The following is a 20,656-nucleotide window of genomic DNA, read 5'->3' as shown; positions in this document are numbered from 1 at the left end:
GTTTGTATATCCTAAATGTAATTAATAAGTGTCATAAAACATCTGTACTGTTACAGTGAATACCAAACTTTATTAAAACCAATGATTCTCAGACTTTTTCTGCCCCAGTACATTGAACAGGTATGACCTGCTTCTATCGCCCATCACCCTTATAGAGGAGAAATATGATCAACATTTTGTCACCATTGTGCAGGTTGAAAAGGCCTGCCTGGCAATTCCATGTGCCTCCACACATACGCTCTTCCCCTCGACCATCACACATGCACACCTTGAGAACTGCTGATTTAAATGATGGCACAATAGTCATGGGAGGGGAGTGCGAACAGCTGAACTCATTTCAAGTTGAAATTTGATGTTCCTTTAACTCTGCTATGGCGAGATGACACCAAGACTTGATTGATGCAAGATAACACAAGCTGGATGCCTTATGGCTCAATTGCATGAAGATGATGAGCTTCACAACTGTTTCCTGCCAATTATGTTAGCTTACATGAGCCAAGAGTCAGTAATTTCAGGCCACTGTAAGGAAATGAGTGATCTGTGGAATGCCTTTTATAGACAGACTTTAGATTAAATTTGAGGATGGGTCACCTACTGGTTTTACAAACCGTTTTTGTTTAGACATCAAATCAGATTTAATATTTTAACCTGTAAGTGATGGCAAAATTCAGCAAGAAAAATCTGCTAGCATGTAATCTTTTCTTTCTTTGTTTTTATTCTTAACAGCTTTATTGAGTATAATTCATACCATAAAATTTATCTATTTTCATTTTTTAATGATTTAATAAATGTTTTAAGTCATTTTGATGATTTTTGGCAAATGTATGGAGTTGTGCAACCATCACAATCTATTTTTTGAACATTTCCATCACACAGAAAATACCCTCTACCTGTTCACAATCTGTTCCCATTACCATCCCAAGCCCAGGCAACAACAAATCTGCTTTCTGTCTCTACAGATTTGCCTATTGTGGACATTTCATATAAACAGAAAAATACAATATGTAGTTTTTTTCATCTAACTTCTTCCAGTTAGTGTAACTTTTTTTTGGCATTCATCTATATTGCAGCATGTAAAAGTACTTTATTCATTGCTGAATAATGTTCCATTGTTTGGATATACCACATTCTGTTTATCCTTTCTATAATGCTTATAAAAGATTAATCTTTTATGGTCCTTGTTGCTTTTAATCTACCTAGCTCCCCACCTCCTTGCCTGGTTTCCCCCCTGGAACCAAGGTCAGATTGAGCTTTTCTGGATTTGACCTCCAGGCTCTATGCTGAAGAGTTTGTACTCCTTCACTCATCTCATCTCTGACTACAAACTTTGGTCCCTGAAGAAGTTGGGATGATTATATCCAGTGTTTTTTTTTTTTTTTTTTTTTTTTTTTGAGACAGGGTCTCAGGGTACAGTGAGGTGATCACCACTGCAGCTTCCACCTTGTAGGCTGAAGTGATCTTCCCAACTCAGTTTCCTGAGTAGTGAGGACCACAGCTGTGTGCCGTGACACCCGGGTAATTATTTTAATTTTTATTTTTTAGAGACAGGGTCTCACTCTGCTGCCCAGGCTGGTCTCAAATTCCTAAGCTCAAGAGATCCTCCTGCCTTGGCCTCCCAAAGTCATGGGGTTAGAAGCATGAGCCACTACACCTGGCCTGGATTGAGGATTTTAATCTCAGGAGCTGGTACCAATTTTGGAGTGTCTTCTGAGGCCTCAGAAACAGAATAGAGTTGAAGATTTCTCTGGTAATTATGAGTCAGCCTTAGAGTTCTGTGGCTAAACCTAGCATAATTTGTAAACATCACATAAATAGCAATATATTACAAATATACTAAAGAAAATACTGAAAGCATTAAGAAAAGATAAGTCATTCATAATTCAGTGTCTCAGTTTGCAGTATTCAGGGAGAACCACTATTCAACATGTTGATGTATGTCCTTTTAGCTTTAATTTATGTGCAGACATATACAGTTTCTTTAAAAGATGGTTTTCTATAATAACCATTTCCCCATGTGAGTAAATACTTTTGAAAATATGAAAGTTAGTCTCATGAGCAGTGCAAGGTCAGAGATAACCAGATTCATTCACGTTTGCGTCTTTCCATAGTGTCAGACTTCTGTTGATGCTATTTCAATAGCAAAAGGCCATGAACTGCATGGAGTTTTCTAGGAGGCAGTCCTCCTTAGAACTTTCCGGTCACTTGGTAGTCACAGCTGCACAGCCACAAGCCACTCCACAAGTCAGTCAATATTGTCAACTATATGTAATATTATACCTAATTAATATATAAATGTTACAGATTAAACATTCCACAACAAACAAAGTAACATTTAACATCAAGAGAAGAGAGATAGGAAAAAGGGTTAAGGAAATAGTCCAGGGAGAGTGAGGAAGACAGAAAGAACCTCCTGGTCTGGGCCAGGGCCCATCTGTTTTACAAGAAAGAGTCTTTACAAGAAAGAGTCTTTGAAGGCCACCCACCTTCAGTGGCAGGTGCTGGGTGCTTATCAGGAGTGATAGCAAGACAGTGTCAGTTAAGACAGCCATTTTGAGCTGTGAAGTCCTGCTCTTTTTATGGCTGCAGAGTCCTCCAGTGAGGACTGATAGTGGAAGAGTGTGCCTGTTTATGTCCTTATCTGGTTGGATGCAGTCTTTATTTATTAATTTATTAAGCAAAGTATCTTTTCCCTGTTGGCAAAGTGTCCTGTGAAATGTAAGATGGAGTCTTTTTCTGAGATGGAGTTACTTGTGTCAAGGGTGCTCTGTACAGTTAGTGTAGCTAGAATGGTATGAGGGAAAACATGGTCAGGAGAGAATTCATAGAGTAGATATTTGCTATCACTTATGGCCTTTGAAAGTCATTGTAAAGAATTGGGAGTTTATTCCAAGTGTAAGTTGAAGCATTAGTTTGTTGAGCAGAAAGTTATTTTATTTGCTTCACATTTTTGACATAACACTGGCCACAATGTAAAGAACCTATTGGAGGGATCGAGAGAGGGAGAAGGAAGATTGAGGAAGAGGCTTTCGTGGTATCGTAAGCTAGAGATGATGGCAGTTTAGGCTAGGGTAGCAATTCAAAATAGCAACAAGTGGCTGGACTTAGAAAATATTTTCAGAGAGGTTGATAGGATTTGTTGATAGACTAATATACTGGGAGAAAAAAAGAATCAAGGGCAACTCCTAGTTTTGTTTTTTAATCTTGAGTAACTGAGTGACTAGGAAAGCCATTGCAGAAATCTGGAGAAAGCTCTAGGAGGAGTGAGTTTGGTGAAGGAAGGTGTGGGAGATTAAGATCTGGGTTTTGCATATATAAAATTTAAATTAGGATGGTGCTGGAGGGAGCTATGGGATCTTGGGAGAGTTAGAATGAGACAAATTACACATTTGTGTGGTAAAGGATATGCTCACCTAGAGAAGGAAAAATGGGTGATATCTAAGAGGGAAAGGGATAATTGGAAAAATAAAGTCCTTTAGTACAGTGGTCCCCAGTCATTTTGGCACCAGGGACCAGTTTCGTGGAAGACAGTTTTTCCACGGATGGGGTGAAGGGTGCAGGGGCCAGCAGGGGATGGTTTCAGGATGAAACCATTCTACCTCAGATCATCAGGCATTCGTTATATTTTCATAATGGGTGCACAACCTAGATCCCTTGCATGCGCAGTTCACAATAGAGTTCGTGCTCCTGTGAGAATCTAATGCCGCCACTCATTTGACAGGAGGTGGAGCTCAGGCAGTAATGCCAGCGATGCAGAGCAGCTGCAAATACAGATGAAGCTTCGCTCACTTCCCCGCCGCTCACCTCCTGCTGTGTGGCCCAGTTCCTAACAGGCCATGAACTGGTACGGGTCCAAGGCTTGAGGGTTGGAGACCCCAGCTTTAGTGGGAGAGTTGGGATGAAATCCAAACTAGAAGTGGAGGGGTTTGTTTTAGACAAGAAAGGTACCTGAGGCAGTGTGGGCACAGATATGAGTGGGTTAGAAAGTTCGGGGTGAGAAGAGGCACTTCTCTTGCGATCACTTTATCAGTATTTTCTCGGTTTAAAAAAAAGCAGAGTCATCTGCTGAGATGGGAGGAAGGTGACAGGACTTTGAGGAGAGGAGAAAGGACACAAATTGGTTTGACTCAGAGAAGAATAACTCAGAAGTGTGCAATCAGGATTGAGACACTGATGAGAACCAAATCTCATTTGTGCTTATAAGTTTAAAGTGAGTCCAGCCAGAACAGTTGTGAGTTACTGATGATGATTCCTTGATCTTGGGTGACAGGATGATCTGTTCTCTTCCGTTGTCCTGTTGATTCTAATGCCCGTATTACATTTAACTTTATATTTTAATATTTTGCAGGGTGAGTTTTACTTTAGTTTTGTAGAAACTTTTCGTTTCCTTTGGCATTTTGGTTTTGCTTTTTAGCTTTCGGTATTGATTATGCTTATTCTATTTTGGGAGAGTCTGATCTTATTAGGTTGGTGCAAAAGTAATTGCGGTTTTTGCCTTTTTTTTTTTTTTTAGTGGCAAAAACCACAATTACTTTTGCACCAACTTAAATAAGTTCAGATTAAATTTGCCGGGGTAACATAAAACAAAAGAAGATTTTATCATTTCTTCTAATTATAAATTATCTTTAATAATTCATTTAACAAATATTGATTAAGTGCCTATAAGACCTTGCATGAGACGTTAGAGATGCAATGGGAAAAGAGATAAAAATTATAGTCCCTGCTTCCACAGAGCTCACAGGCCAGGGTAGAGGCCAGCAACCTATGCCCTTTAGCCAAATGCAGCCCACCTCTTGATTTTGTACAGCCTGTGAACTAAAAAAAATTTTTAATTAAACATTTCATTTTAACATTATTATAGATTCACATGAGGTTGTAAGAAATAATACAGAGAGATCTCCTATACCCTCTACCTTATTTCCCCCCAGTGGTAACTTTATGCAGAACTATAGTATAACATATAGTAAAACCAGGATGTTGACATTGAAACTGTCAAAAGACAGAACATTTCTACCAGCACAAGGATCCTTCATGTTGCCCTTTATAGCCCAGGCACTTCCCTCCCACCCAGAAACCCTCCTTAACCCCTGGCAACATTTAATGTTTTCCATTTCTGTAGTTGTTACTTCATAAATATGATACAAAGTAAATCATATAGTATGTAACTTTTTGGAGTTAGCATTTTTTTCACTGTCAGAGTAATTCTCTGGTGATTCATTGTTGCGTATTTCAGTAGTTCGTTACTTCTTATTGCTGAGTAAATCCATGGTATGGATGTGCCACAGTTTGTTTAATCATTCACCTGTTGAAAGACATCAAGGTTATTTCAAGGTTTTGGCTATTATGAATAAAGATCCTATAAACATTCTTGTGAACAGTTTTTTCCCTCTGGCATGCATGCTCAGAATCATATTTGCTGAGTCTTATATTATTTGCATGCTGAGTTTTAAAAGAAACTGCCACCAGAGTGGTTGTACCAGAGACTGTCAATCCAGTTTCTCTGCATCCTTGCCAGCATTTGGTGCTGTCAATATTTTTTATTTTAGCTATTCAAGTGGGTGTGTAGTGATATCTCATTTTGGCTTCAACTTGCATAATAGTTAATGATGTTGAACACTTTTTCATCTATTTATTTACTGACTTTATATCCTCTTTGATGAAACGTCTGTTCATGTCTTTTGATCATTTTCTAATTGAATTGTTTGTGGAGCTTTTTTTACTGTTGAGTTTTGAGAATTTATTCTATATTTTATTCTAGGAAATAGTCCTTTGTAGCTGAGTGCAGTGGCTCATGCCTGTAATCCCAACACTGTGGGAGGGCCAAAGCGGGCAGATTGCTTAAGCCCAAGAGTTCAAGACCAGCCTGGGTAACATGGCAAGACCCCATCTCTACAGAAAATACAAAAATTAGCTGGCTGTGGTGGTGCATGCCTGTGGTCTCAGCTACTCAGGAGGCTGAGGTGGAGGATCACCTGAGCCCAGGGAGGTCAAAGCTGCAGTGAACTATGATCATACCACTGCACTCCAGCCTGGGTGACAGAGCAAGACCCTGCCTAAAAAAAAAAAAAAAAAAAAATAGGAAAAAAAAAAGTATTTTGTTGAATGTGTGGCTTGCAAGTGTTTTATCCCAGTCTGTAGCTTGTCTTTTTACCCTCTTAACAGGGCCCTTCACAGAGCAAAAGTTTTTTGTTTTTTTTTTTAAGCCCAATTTATCAGATTTACTTTTTTAGATTGTGCTTTTTGTATTAAGACTAGGAACTCTTTGGCTAGCTCCAGATCCCAAAGATTTTTTTTCTAAAATGTTTATGTTTTTACATTTTACTTTTAAGTCCATGATCCATTTTAGTTAATTTTTGTATATAGTGTGAGACTCACACTGATAGGGTGTGGTGATATCAGGTATATGGTTTACACTCTTTCAGGGGGATGGGGTGCAGATTTGCATGGGTCTGCTTCCCCGTCTGCGCTTGCTTTAGCTGTGTCCCATAAACTGTGATGTGTTGGTTTTTTATTTTCATTACATTCAATCTGTTTTTTTTATTTCTCTTGAAACTTCATCTTTGACCCATGGATTATTTACAGTTGTGTTGTTTAGTTTCCAAGTGTTTGGTAATGTATCTGTTATCCATTGTTGATTTCTAGTTGGATTCCACTGTGGTCAGAGAAGGCACTCTGTGTGATTTCAGTTCTTTTAAACTTGCTGAGGTTTGTTTTATGGCCCAGAATATGATCTATCTTGGTATATATGAGCACTTGAAAAGAGCATGTATTCTGCTGTTGTTGGGTAGAGTGTTTTATCATTGTGAATTAAATCTTGTTGTTTGATAGTGTTGAGTTCTGTATTCTTGCTGATTTTCAGTGTTGTTGTTCTATCAATTTTTGAGAAAAGGGTATCTTTGCTCTGAAGTCTGTTTGCTCTGAAGTCTATTTTATCTGATATTAATATAGCCACTCCAGCTTTTTTAAAATAAATGTTTGCATGATGTTTCCTCCATAATTGAAGTGAGTGTCTTTTAGACAGCATGTGGTTTGGTCACGGTCATGTTTTTTATTCTCTTCTACCAATCTCTGTTTTTCAGTTGGTGTATTTAGACTATTCACATTTAATGCAGTTATTGATATGTTAGGGCTTAAGTCTGCCATTTTATTTTTTTGTTTTCTGTTTGTTCTCAGTGTTTTGTGTTTCCTGACATCCAGTGTATTACTTGAACATTTTATAGAATTATTTTTTTACTTTTCTGTGGTGTTATTAATGTATCTCTTTGTATGGCTTTTTAAATGGTTGCTGTAGGTATTATATATACATAGCTAATCCCAGTCTACTGGTGATGTCATTTTACCAGTTTAAGTAATATATGGAAACCTTACCTCCTTCTACATCCCATTGCCTTCCCTTGCTTACAATAAAATTGTCTTAAATATTTCCTCTACACACATTTGAAACCATGTCATACAGTATTAGAATTTTCACATCAGCTAGCAAATATAATTTAGAAAACTTAAGAGGACAAGGAAAACTTATTGTCTTTACCCAGATTTTTACTTACTGAGTTCTTTTTCCTTCATAATTTTAGCAGATTCTTTCTTTATTGTTTTATTTCTGTTTAGAAAACTTCCTTCAGAGAAATAAAATACAGACAAGCAAATGCTGAGAGATTTTGTCACCACCAGGCCTGCCCTAAAAGAGCTCCTGAAGGAAGCACTAAATGTGGAAAGGAACAACCAGTACCAGCCACTGCAAAATCATGCCAAATTGTAAAGACCATCAAGGCTAGGAAGAAACTGCATCAACTAACGAGCAAAATAACCAGCTAACATCATAATGACAGGATCAAATTCACACATAACAATATTAACTTTAAAGGTAAATGGACTAAATGCTCCAATTAAAAGACACAGACTGGCAAATTGGATAAAGAGTCAAGACCCATCAGTGTGCTGTATTCAGGAAACCCATCTCACGTGCAGAGACACACATAGGCTCAAAATAAAAGGATGGAGGAAGATCTACCAAGCAAATGGAAAACAAAAAAAGGCAGGGGTTGCAATCCTAGTCTCTGATAAAACAGACTTTAAACCAACAAAGATCAAAAGAGACAAAGAAGGCCATTACATAATGGTAAAGGGATCAATTCAACAAGAAGAGCTAAGTATCCTAAATATATATGCACCCAATACAGGAGCACCAAGATTCATAAAGCAAGTCCTGAGTGACCTACAAAGAGACTTAGACTCCCACACATTAATAATGGGAGACTTTAACACCCCACTGTCAACATTAGACAGATCAACGAGACAGAAAGTCATCAAGGATACCCAGGAATTGAACTCAGCTCTGCACCAAGTGGACCTAATAGACATCTACAGAACTCTCCACCCCAAATCAACAGAATATACATTTTTTTCAGCACCACACCACACCTATTCCAAAATTGACCACATAGTTGGAAGTAAAGCTCTCCTCAACAAATGTAAAAGAACAGAAATTATAACAAACTGTCTCTCAGACCACAGTGCAATAAAACTAGAACTCAGGATTAAGAAACTCACTCAAAACCACTCAACTACATGGAAACTGAACAACCTGCTCCTGAATGACTACTGGGTACATAATGAAAGGAAGGCAGAAATAAAGATGTTCTTTGAAACCAATGAGAACAAAGACACAACATACCAGAATCTCTGGGACACATTCAAAGCAGTGTGTAGAGGGAAATTTATAGCACTAAATGCCCACAAGAGAAAGCAGGAAAGATCCAAAATTGACACCTTAACATCACAATTGAACGAACTAGAAAAGAAAGAGCAAACGTATTCAAAAGCTAGCAGAAGGCAAGAAATAACTAAAATCAGAGCACAACTGAAGGAAATAGAGACACAAAAAACCCTTCAAAAAATTAAGGAATCCAGGAGCTGGTTTTTTGAAAGGATCAACAAAATTGATAGACCACTAGCAAGACTAATAAAGAAGAAAAGAGAGAAGAATCAAATAGACGCAATAAAAAATGATAAAGGGGAAATCACCACCAATCCCACAGAAATACAAACTACCATCAGAGAATACTACAAACACCTCTATGCAAATAAACTAGAAAATCTAGAAGAAATGGATAAATTCCTCGACACATACACCCTCCCAAGACTAAACCAGGAAGAAGTTGAATCTCTGAATAGTCCAATAACAGGCTCTGAAATTGTGGCAATAATCAATAGCTTACCAACCAAAAAGAGTCCAGGACCAGATGGATTCACAGCCAAATTCTACCAGAGGTTTAAGGAAGAACTGGTACCATTCCTTCTGAAACTACTCTAATCAATAGAAAAAGAGGGAATCCTCCCTAACTCATTTTATGAGGCCAGCATCATCCTGATACCAAAGCCGGGCAGAGACACAACCAAAAAAGAGAATTTTAGACCAATATCCTTGATGAACATTGATGCAAAAATCCTCAATAAAATACTGGCAAACCGAATCCAGCAGCACATCAAAAAGCTTATCCACCATGATCAAGTGGGCTTCATCCCTGGGATGCAAGGCTGGTTCAATATACACAAATCAATAAATGTAATCCAGCATATAAACATAACCAAAGACAAAAACCACATGATTATCTCAATAGATGCAGAAAAGGCCTTTGACAAAATTCAACAACCGTTCATGCTAAAAACTCTTAATAAATTAGGTATTGATGGGACGTATCTCAAAATAATAAGAGCTATCTATGACAAACCCACAGCCAATATCATACTGAATGGGCAAAAACTGGAAACATTCCCTTTGAAAACTGACACAAGACAGGGATGCCCTCTCTCACCACTCCTATTCAACATAGTGTTGGAAGTTCTGGCCAGGGCAATTAGGCAGGAGAAGGAAGTAAAGGGTATTCAATTAGGAAAAGAGGAAGTCAAATTGTCCCTGTTTGCAGATGACATGATTGTATATCTAGAAAACCCCACTGTCTCAGCCCAAAATCTCCTTAAGCTGATAAGCAACTTCAGCAAAGTCTCAGGATACAAAATCAATGTACAAAAATCACAAGCATTCTTATACACCAACAACAGACAAACAGAGAGCCAAATCATGAGTGAACTCCCATTCACAGTTGCTTCAAAGAGAATAAAATACCTAGGAATCCAACTTACATGGGACATGAAGGACCTCTTCAAGGAGAACTACAAACCACTGCTCAATGAAATAAAAGAGGATACAAACAAATGGAAGAACATTCCATGCTCATGGGTAGGAAGAATCAATATCGTGAAAATGGCCATACTGCCCAAGGTAATTTATAGATTCAATGCCATCCCCATTAAGCTACCAATGCCTTTCTTCACAGAATTGGAAAAAACTACTTTAAAGTTCATATGGAACCAAAAAGGAGCCCGCATCGCCAAGTCAATCCTAAGCCAAAAGAACAAAGCTGGAGGCATCACGCTACCTGACTTCAAACTATACTACAAGGCTACAGTAACCAAAACAGCATGATACTGGTACCAAAACAGAGATATAGATCAATGGAACAGAACAGAGCCCTCAGAAATAACACCACATATCTACAACTATCTGATCTTTGACAAACCTGAGAAAAACAAGCAATGGGGAAAGGATTCCCTATTTAATAAATGGTGCTGGGAAAACTGGCTAGCCATATGTAGAAAGCTGAAACTGGATCCCTTCCTTACACCTTATACAAAAATCAATTCAAGATGGATTAAAGACTTAAATGTTAGACCTAAAACCATAAAAACCCTAGAAGAAAACCTAGGCATTACCATTCAGGACATAGGCATGGACAAGGACTTCATGTCTAAAACACCAAAAGCAATGGCAACAAAAGCCAAAATTGACAAATGGGATCTAATTAAACTAAAGAGCTTCTTCACAGCAAAAGAAACTACCATCAGAGTGAACAGGCAACCTACAACATGGGAGAAAATTTTCGCAACCTACTCATCTGACAAAGGGCTAATATCCAGAATCTACAATGAACTCAAACAAATTTACAAGAAAAAAACAACCCCATCAAAAAGTGGGCGAAGGACATGGACAGACACTTCTCAAAAGAAGACATTTATGCAGCCAAAAAACACATGAAAAAATGCTCACCATCACTGGCCATCAGAGAAATGCAAATCAAAACCACAATGAGATACCATCTCACACCAGTTAGAATGGCAATCATTAAAAAGTCAGGAAACAACAGGTGCTGGAGAGGATGTGGAGAAACAGGAACACTTTTACACTGTTGGTGGGACTGTAAACTAGTTCAACCATTGTGGAAGTCAGTGTGGCGATTCCTCAGGGATCTAGAACTAGAAGTACCATTTGACCCAGCCATCCCATTACTGAGTATATACCCAAGGGACTATAAATCATGCTGCTATAAAGACACATGCACACGTATGTTTATTGCGGCACTATTCACAATAGCAAAGACTTGGAACCAACCCAAATGTCCAACAATGATAGACTGGATTAAGAAAATGTGGCACATATATACCATGGAATACTATGCAGCCATAAAAAAGGATGAGTTCATGTCCTTTGTAGGGACATGGATGAAATTGGAAATCATCATTCTCAGTAAACTATCGCAAGGACAAAAAACCAAACACCGCATATTCTCACTCATAGGTGGGAATTGAACAATGAGAACACATGGACACAGGAAGGGGAACATCACACTCTGGGGACTGTTGTGGGGTAGGGGGAGGGGGGAGGGATAGCATTAGGAGATATGCCTAATGCTAAATGACGAGTTAATGGGTGCAGCACACCAGCATGGCACATGTATACATATGTAACTAACCTGCACATTGTGCACATGTACCCTAAAACTTAAAGTATAATAATAATAAAAAAAAAAAAAGAAAAGAAAACTTCCTTCAGACATTCTTTTAGGTTAGGTCTGCAGGCAATAAATTCATTTGGTTTTTTTTTTTCATCTGTGAATTCTGATTTCCCCTTATTTCCGTGGGATATTTTTATTGGATTCTGGGTTGACAGTTATTTTTCTTTCAACACTTGAAAAATGGTGCACCATTTTCTGCTGGTTTCCATATTTTCTGATGAGAAATCTGCTGTTATTCAAATTGTTTTTCCCCTATAGGTAAGGTGTCATTTCTCACTGCTTTCAAATTCTTTTCTTTGTTTTTAGTTTTTAGTAATTTGATGTGTCTTTGTGTGGATTGCTTTGGGTTTACCTTATTTGAGGTTTGCTTAGCTTCTGTAAGATTTATGTCTTTTGCCAAATTTGGAAACTTTTCAGCCACTATTCCTGTGAGTACTCTTTTAGCCTCTTTTTCTTTTCCTTCTAGAAGTCCAGTGACACAAATGTTAGATCTTTTGTCACAGTCCACAGGTCCCTGAGACTCTGTTCATTTTTTTTTAACATCTATTTTTGTTTTTCAGGCTGGGTAAATTCTGTTGTTTTATCCTCAGGTTCATGGATCCTTTCCTGTGCCCCCTCAGTTCTGCTATTGAGCACTTCCATGGAAATTTTTATTTTGGTTATTGCATTTTTTAGTTCTAGACTTCTTTATTTGCTTCTTATTTACATCTTCTTTGCTGAGAATTCCTATTTCTTAGCTCAGATTTTCTGTTTTTTTGTGTGTTTGTTTCTAGTATGTACATAATTGCTCATTAAAGTATTTTTATAATGACCACTTTAAAATTTTTGCCAGATAATTCTAACAGCTCTGTTATTTAGGTTTTGATATCAGTTAATTGTCTTTTTTCATTCTGCTTGAGATCTTCCTGGTTCTTGATGTGGTGAGTGATTTTCTTTTGAAACCTAGACATTTTGGGTATTTGGTTATGAGATTCTCAGTCTTATTTAAACCTGTTTTAACTGGCTTCTGACATTCCTATGGCAGGGGAAGAGGGGACACTACCTCATTTCTGCCTGATGAGGTTAGAAATCCAGGTTCCCCTTGCAGCCTCCATTGGCACCCGAGAGGGAGCTCCTTACTGCTGCCTGCCAGGGACCAGCGTTACGGCACCCTGCAAGGCCTCCACTACTGCCTTCATGACTGGGAAAGACAGAGGTCCCCTTTGCCTCCCATGCAACCTCCACTAATAACATGGTCAGGAAAGGAATGGCCTTTCTACCTCTGAGTGGAGGTGGAATTCCTGGCTCTCCACTAGGCCTCCTCTGACATGACCCCATTGAAGAGGGGGAGGGACCTCATTACTGCTTCATGGAGGTGGAAGTCTAGGCTCCCCACGTGATGTCCACTGACATCCTCCAGGTATGGACAGAAGTACCAGCTTCCCTCCTCAGCCTTCCCTGACACCATGACAGTGGAGGGGAGGGCATAGCCGGGGAGTTAGAGTGCCCCATTATAGCCTGGTGAGGATGGAAGTCTGGGCTCCCCACTCAGCCTATGCTGGAATAGGTAGGGGTGGAGCCACATTTTTTCTGTGGTGTTTGGCTGAAGTAGATCAGTTAATATCTAAACATTTTCTGTCTTTCTGGCTGCCCCTTTCCTTGTCTGTCCCTTAGCTGCGAGCATAGGCTCTTGTGGTGGTGGTATTATTGTTTTTTGGGGATTTCTTTTTGGTCTGTGCCCAGTGGCATTTCCAGGTTGCTGCTGTCTTCCTGCAAAAGAAAATTCAGGAAATTCTTTGGGTCCCAAGATCACTGACCAGTTTGCCCTCTTTCCACCACCTGGAGTCGTCTTACGTTTGTTTATAGTGTCCAACATTTTTAGTTGTATAGTCAGCCCTCTGTATCCTTGGGTTCCACATCATGGATTCAGCCAGCTATAGGTTGAAAATATTTTTTTAATTGCATCTGTACTGAACATGTACAGACTTTCTATTCTTTCTATTATTCCCTAAACAATATAGTGTAACAATTATTTACATGGCATTTACATTTTATTAGGTATTGTAAATAATCTAGAGATGATCTAAAGAAGCAGTCCCCAACCTTTTTGGCATAAGGGAGTAGTTTCATGGAAGACAATTTTTCCACACGCCGCTGTGTATGTGGGGGTGAGGGATGGTTTCGGGATGAAACTGTTCCACCTCAGATCATCAGGCATTCGTTAGATTCTCATAAGAAGTGCACAACCTAGATCCCTTGCAAGCACAGTTCACGACAGGGTTCGTGCTCCTCTGAGAATCTAATGCTGCCGCTGATCTGACAGGAGGCGGAGCTCGGGCAGTAATGGTCACTGGTCCACCACTCACCTCCTGCTTTGCAGCCAGTTCCTAACAGGCCACAGACTGGTACCAGTCCACTGCCTGAGGTTTGGGGACCCCTGGTCTGAAGTATACAGGAGGATATACATAGCTTATATGCAAATACGGCACCATTTTATATCAGGGACTTGAGCATTCAAAGATTTGGGTATTCGTGGAAGGTCCTGGAACCAGTCCATGGACAGCTGTACTTGAAGGTCCTGGAACCAGATACCAACAGACAGCTGTACTTAGCAGGAGGAATAAGGTAAAGAACACCCACTCCAGCTCCTGAAAGTGGAGATTTTCATCTGTCCATTTAAAACCATTCAGAGGAATCTCATGATTTTCCTCACCTGTGTTCTCTCTGCCTGTAACATCTTTTTCTCCTTTTGCAGCATCAGCCACTATGTGATTGTCATGTCCATGACCATCTTTTTGGTGTTCCTCAATGGCCTGGCCCAGCTGCTCACAACGAAGAAACTCAGACTATGTGGCAAACCCAAAAGTCACTTCATGTGAGGTTGCTGAAGCACCATTCAGCATCTGGATCCTGATTCTCCTTTTAAGCTAAAATCTCATCAAGGCTTCAATAAGAAGATGGATATGGATATATAGTATATTCTACTCCTGTAAGGAAAATGGTATTTGGAATTCCGAATTGACAGGTTATCTGGAACAAAGGAGCTTCTTTTTTTTTCTAGGTTTTGCAGGCATGAAATAGTGATTATATCTGTGGAAAAGCATAGGAAGGCATTCTCCTTTTTCATTTTTTTCCTTTGGCTGGCAGCTCTTCCCAGTGATGTTGAGAGCACCTGCAGCAATCTGGTCCCCAGTCGCACAACTTCCCACATACCCAGAGGAGAGCATATGCCTGTGGGGGCAGTGCTGATGGCATCCAGAGTCATTGCTGTGGCTGAGCTGGAAGGAAATCACCAGGTGCCACCGTCAATATTTATCAGCTTTCAGCACTGGTTTTGTTAGACAGTCAGGGTGTATTATTTCAAGAGCTTCAATAAAAAAAGTGTTTGCAGGTATTTGTCATATTTCTTTAGTATGCAATAATGCTATCTTATCCTTTTTAGTGCTATTTCTCAGGTTTTCTCAGTCAACCAGCTAGATGCATGTGATGCATGTCTATCCTTCACTTTTTTTTTTTCATTTCTGGATTTTCCTGGGATTTCTGACAACACAAAAGTAGAAAGTGCTTGGTATTTCTGTCTTATACATAGGAAAACATTTAAAATAAATAGTTTTTAATTGTAGGCTCAACATCTGTTACCCCATAGCTTTTTCGTATATTGTTTCTTTCCCTTTGAATTTCTTTTTACTGTCATCTATTATTTTAACAGGAGTTAAAATAACTCCTGTTAAACTTTCTGACAATATCATAAGAATTCATATTAAAGGTGTTATTCTTTCTGGTTGTGAGATTCTAGCACAAAGGCCTAAAATCATCAAATTAGATTTCCATTTGTAAACAAATTCTAATGGGCAAAATATCTTGAGAGCAGTTTTTATATGGATTATCCATAAAATGACCTTTACATATCCCTGCAGAGTTGGCCTTTTGCCCGTGGTGTGCTAGTAGCTTTGGCTGATGCTAAGCTTTCCTGGTATGCGCCCTATTTTTAAGAAGTAATTGCTTTTGAATTAAGTTATAGCATTACTAATTCATGTTAATGACTAGGAAACCCTCTGTAATTTACAAGATTTTTCAAATTGGTGGGGAGTGAATAAATACAATTTAAAAGTCAGAAATCAGTTTGGCAAAGTGTACTTTCTTAATTTCTATTTATGATGAAGTATAGTCATAATTTATTTGTAATACTACTTTATGGTATACCAGTGAAAGAACTGTAGTATAAAAAAGAGGTATTAATGTTTTATGAAATCTCATGCATCAGTTCATAGCATAAAATCTAGCTGGACAACTAAGAAGCTATGGTAGCAAACAGTGATGTTGATGGAATGAGAATCATGAACTTTCATATTACCTCAAAGGATTTTTTTATCAGTTTTTTTCACACATCAGAAAAAACTGACTGTATAAACACTTATCACTGACCTTTTTCTATGTGTAGTTTTGCCTTTTATCTTTTCCCAAATTTTTATAAAGAGAAATTAATAAATATTTTATTACAACATTGTAAAGGGTGCTCAGTTTTTTTATCTTTCTTTATTTTGCTCTTTGAGGCATATCTTTTTCTTAATTTTGTCCTTTCAGGTCAGTGTGAGTCTGTAGAATAGGTTGAACTTCCTTCTGACAGTATCATAGAGTTTGTGGAGTTTGTGTTGTGTGCCTGCAGCCACAGGCTCGCCTTGCTGCACCGTAACTGGCCCCTTCAGACTCACATGGGAACAAGCCTTTTCTGTTGCAGTTTCCCAGATATCTTTAAATGTTTTGAAATGTATATTTTTATGTTGCAAAACAGAAAAAAGAAACGAGTTAGGGAAAAAGTATTTCTATTTAAGGTATTTATTTTTTCATTCTACCTATGCCATAGATTTCTGAATCAAGACTTAGGACATTTGCTGATTAACAATGTTTAAATTAGGAATTGTTATAAGAATTAAAATAGGCAGAACAAGTTGTGAAAATATTGAACCAAAAAAAGGCCATGCTATCATCTTAGAGGGCCCATGAATAAACCTTAGAGGGAATCCTAAGGCTTTAGGAAACCGCTGCAGCTTGTCTGTCATTTTCCAATATGTTAATTATTATACTTAGTGTACAGTATTTAGAATACAAAATGCTTTTTTATTTTTTAGGAAAATAATGTTATAAATGATTGTATATTTTCATAGTAATGTCTTTATAATTATTTATTAATGATAGAGCTGAATTAGAAAAGCTCTTCATCCATTATAATATGGTTTCTCATGAAAAACTTATTACAAATTTCAGCCAACTCAGATATTAAGAACATCAGTGTCAATCCTCCTCCCCTCCTGCGACCTTTTTACACTTGTTTTGGTGGACTAGGGGCTCCTTTTCTCCTCCTTTTTGACATATAACTGTGCCATTAAAAACATGATTTCTGATGAAGCTGGCCTAGAGGGAATGAAGGAGATTGCGTGGGTATGGTCTCTAGGACAGGCGTAGCTGTTGCAGGGCCACCCTGTCCTTGGGAGAACCTGGTGAGCTCCCATATTCACACTAGATGCCATCATGTCAGGGGGCTGAAGAGAATGGAGCTAATCAACTCTGTCATTTGGAGAAGACCCCCTTCAGACCAGTTCTGAGAACTCCTTCTTTTAAGAGACCAGAGATAACTTGATCATTTCTCACCTTTTCGTAGTTGTTCTTTTTTATGTTGACATTCCCCTTACTGTTTTTAAAATGCTTCAAAGCATTAATGATTGTTATGCTGTGTGCTTTCAGTACTATGGCAATATCTTTGTAGCATTTTCCCATTTCTGTATAAGCATGGTTTTTTGTTTTTTTTTTTTTCGTTTTTGTTTTGAGACAGGGTCTCACTCTTGTTCAGGCTAGAATGCAGTGGCACCATCTCAGCTCACTGCAACCTCTGCCTCCTGGGCTCAAGTGATCCTGCCACCTCAGCCTCCTGAGTAGCTGAGACTACAGGCACATGCCCCCACACCTAGCTAATTTTAAAATATTTTTTGATGGAGACAGGGTTTCACTATGTTTTCCAGGCAGCAGCATTTTTTTTTGACTGGGATTTCTTTATGATGCTTTGTTATTTAAAAAAAAAATGAGAAGGAAACATTAATAATCAAAATTATCTTTAATTGGCCTCACAGGGCTAAAATCTAGAATTATTATTACTCTTGGGTAAACTCATGAAAAGTACTTAATATTCATTCTATAAAGAAACAAAAAGAACCTTTGAGATGTGTCTCTTATTCATTTCCTTGGGTACACTTAAAACGGGTTACAGTTACTGCTCAACTTTCTACCTTCAGAACTGCAGCATTTATTTGCCACACAGCAGCATTTATCAGAGATTGTCCCTTAGAACATTGGTTCCTTGTAATACAAATAAATGTCATAATAAAAATAGTTTCTTTTTTCTTTCTTTCTTTTTTTTTCAAGACAGACTCTGGCTCTCTCGCCAAGGCTGGAATGCAGTGGCGCAATGTCAGCTCACTGCAAGCTCCGCCTCCCTGGTTCAAGCGATTCTTCTGCCTCAGCCTCCTGAGTAGCTGGGATTACAGGTGCCCACCACCACGTCTGGCTAATTTTCATATTTTTAGTACTGACAAGGTTTCACCATGTTTGTCAGGCTCATCTTGAACTCCTGACCTCAAGCAGTTCACCCGCCTCGGCCTCCCAAAGTGCTGGGATTACAGGCGTGAGCTGCCTCACCCAGCTGAAAAGAGTTTCTTAATTAAATATATTTGAGAAACATCTAGTCAAACCACCTTAAATAGGTATATTTACATTAGTTCTAAGGGAATTTAACTTGTGATGTACGTTGTGAAGGGAGGAAGATAGCATTATGCCAAAAGTTTCCACTAGCTTGACAGCAGACCCTGTCTTAGAGTTTTCTTCCTGATTGGTAAACATAAGAAATGTTTCCAAAGCCGGGCTTGGTGGCTCACCCCTGTAATTCCAGCACTTTGGGAGGCCGAGGTGGGTGGATCACTTGAGGTCAGGAGTTCGAGACCAGTCTGGCCAAGATGGCAAAACCCCATCTCTACTAAACACACACACACACACACACACACACACACACACACACACACACACACACACACACACACACACACCCGGCGGGGTGGTAGGCTCCTGTAATCCTTGCTACTCAGGAGCCTGAGGCATGAGAATTGCTTGAACCTGGGAGGTGGAATTTGCAATGAGCCGAGATGGTGCCACTCTGGGCGACAAAGTGAGACTCTGCCTCAAAAAGAAATGTCTCCATATAATTTTGCACTAAAACCTTAATTTGTCATAGTTTTGAAAATAGGGTGTTGTATGTTGATTGAATTTTTTTCCCTGAGAACTGGAATACCATTTTTACTTTAACCCTTAATGTGAGAAAACTTTACAATTTCCTGCAATTTTTCCTGCCTCTGTATATATTACACCTGTCATCATTTAGTCTTTCATGTGGGAAAGGCCAGTGGTACCAGATTGCATTCGGTTCATCATGGCTCATTGTCTAGCCCTGCTAGAGTATAGACTAAGCCTTCATACCTTATGTTTTATATCTTTTACCTGAAAAATAAATTTGCACCAAATTTCAACTTGTTTTCTTATGATTTGACAGTGTAGAAAGTGATTAGTAGTTAAATTTTTATAATGCTTTGTTATTTAAAAAAACTATGAAAAGAAAACATCAGTTATCAAAATTTCCTTTAATTGGCCTCAAAGGGCTAAAATCTAAAATTATTATTACTCTTGGGTAAACTCATGAAAAGATAAATTCTTTTTACAGAAGAATTTAATTAGCTTGACTGGTATCAAATACCAATTGCATCAAACATCAGTGATTCCATGAATTTTTTAAAGTTGTTTTTACTTTAAGCAGATAATGTTCAGTGAATTTGACTAATGTGATTAACGAAGGGACCAACACAGGTAATTGTCAATCTTACAGACATAAACTGTTACCTCGAATATCCCTGTATTACTTGAAATTCTAGAAATCGTCTGTCAACATTTTAAAAGCTCCTCTCCTTGCTGATGAGAAGTAATATTCTTAAAGTTAGAAACCATACAATTAAATCCTGATTTGCCTGATACATGTTTGCTTATCATGTCCTATCTCTCATGCTATTGTGATTGGTTTTATTTTATTAAAAACTGCTCATAGCATAGCCAGGTGATCTATGTGAACATCAACAGTGATAAGCTGACAGTATGTACCCTGGATACATGATGAGAATGGCACTTTAGCTACACGGACTTCCTCCCCAGTGCTCATAAACCCAGTCTAATCATGAGAAAAACAGACAAATATCAATATAGGAACATTTGGCAAAATACCCAGTGAGTACTTTTCAAAACTACCAAGGTCATCAAAAACGAGAAAAGGCTGAGAAACTGTCAAAGCCAAGAGAAGCCTGTAGAGACATGACCACTGCATGGGGTGCGGCACCCTGGATGGGCCCTAAACATGCGGTGCGGCACCCTGGATGGGGCCCTAAACATGGGGTGCGGCACCCTGGATGGGGCCCTAAACATGATGTGCGGCACCCTGGATGGGGCCCTAAACATGGGGTGCGGCACCCTGGAAGGGGCCCTAAACATGAGTTGCGGCACCCTGGCTGGGCCCTAAACATGGGGTGCGGCACCCTGGAAGGGGCCCTAAACATGGGGTGCGGCATCGTCGATGGGGCCCTAAACATGGGGTGCGGCACTCTGGATGGGGCCCTAAACATGGGGTGCGGCACCCTGGATGGGGCCCTAAACATGGGGTGCGGCACCCTGGATGGGGCCCTAAACATGATGTGCGGCACCCTGGATGGGGCCCTAAACATGGGGTGCGGCACCCTGGAAGG

General features: G+C 39.0%; 1 protein-coding gene across 47 annotated transcripts in view; it reads left to right on the top strand.

Moving 5' to 3' along the window:
* The window catches only part of PIGN (phosphatidylinositol glycan anchor biosynthesis class N), a 169,442-nt gene that overhangs the window by 126,494 nt on the left and 22,292 nt on the right, over positions 1-20,656 (top strand). For 30 of the 47 annotated variants that reach the window (XM_047437439.1, XM_011525894.2, XM_047437440.1 and 27 more), the window contains one exon: positions 14,584-19,399. The exons of 2 other annotated variants lie outside the window; for them this stretch is intronic. In XM_047437439.1, coding sequence (XP_047293395.1) covers positions 14,584-14,707 — 124 coding nt within the window. In that variant the 3' untranslated portion in view covers positions 14,708-19,399. Of the gene's footprint in view, positions 1-7,605; positions 11,940-14,583; positions 19,400-20,656 lie in introns of those variants that run through there. 15 more of the 47 variants (XM_047437449.1, XM_047437462.1, XM_047437447.1 and 12 more) reach the window with 4 other exon arrangements.

The sequence above is a fragment of the Homo sapiens genome, chromosome 18 (assembly GCF_000001405.40).
Source record: "Homo sapiens chromosome 18, GRCh38.p14 Primary Assembly".
Taxonomy (NCBI): Eukaryota; Metazoa; Chordata; class Mammalia; order Primates; family Hominidae; genus Homo; species Homo sapiens.
The sequence above is the reverse complement of the archived record's forward strand: the minus strand, read 5'-3'. Positions and strand labels throughout refer to the sequence as shown.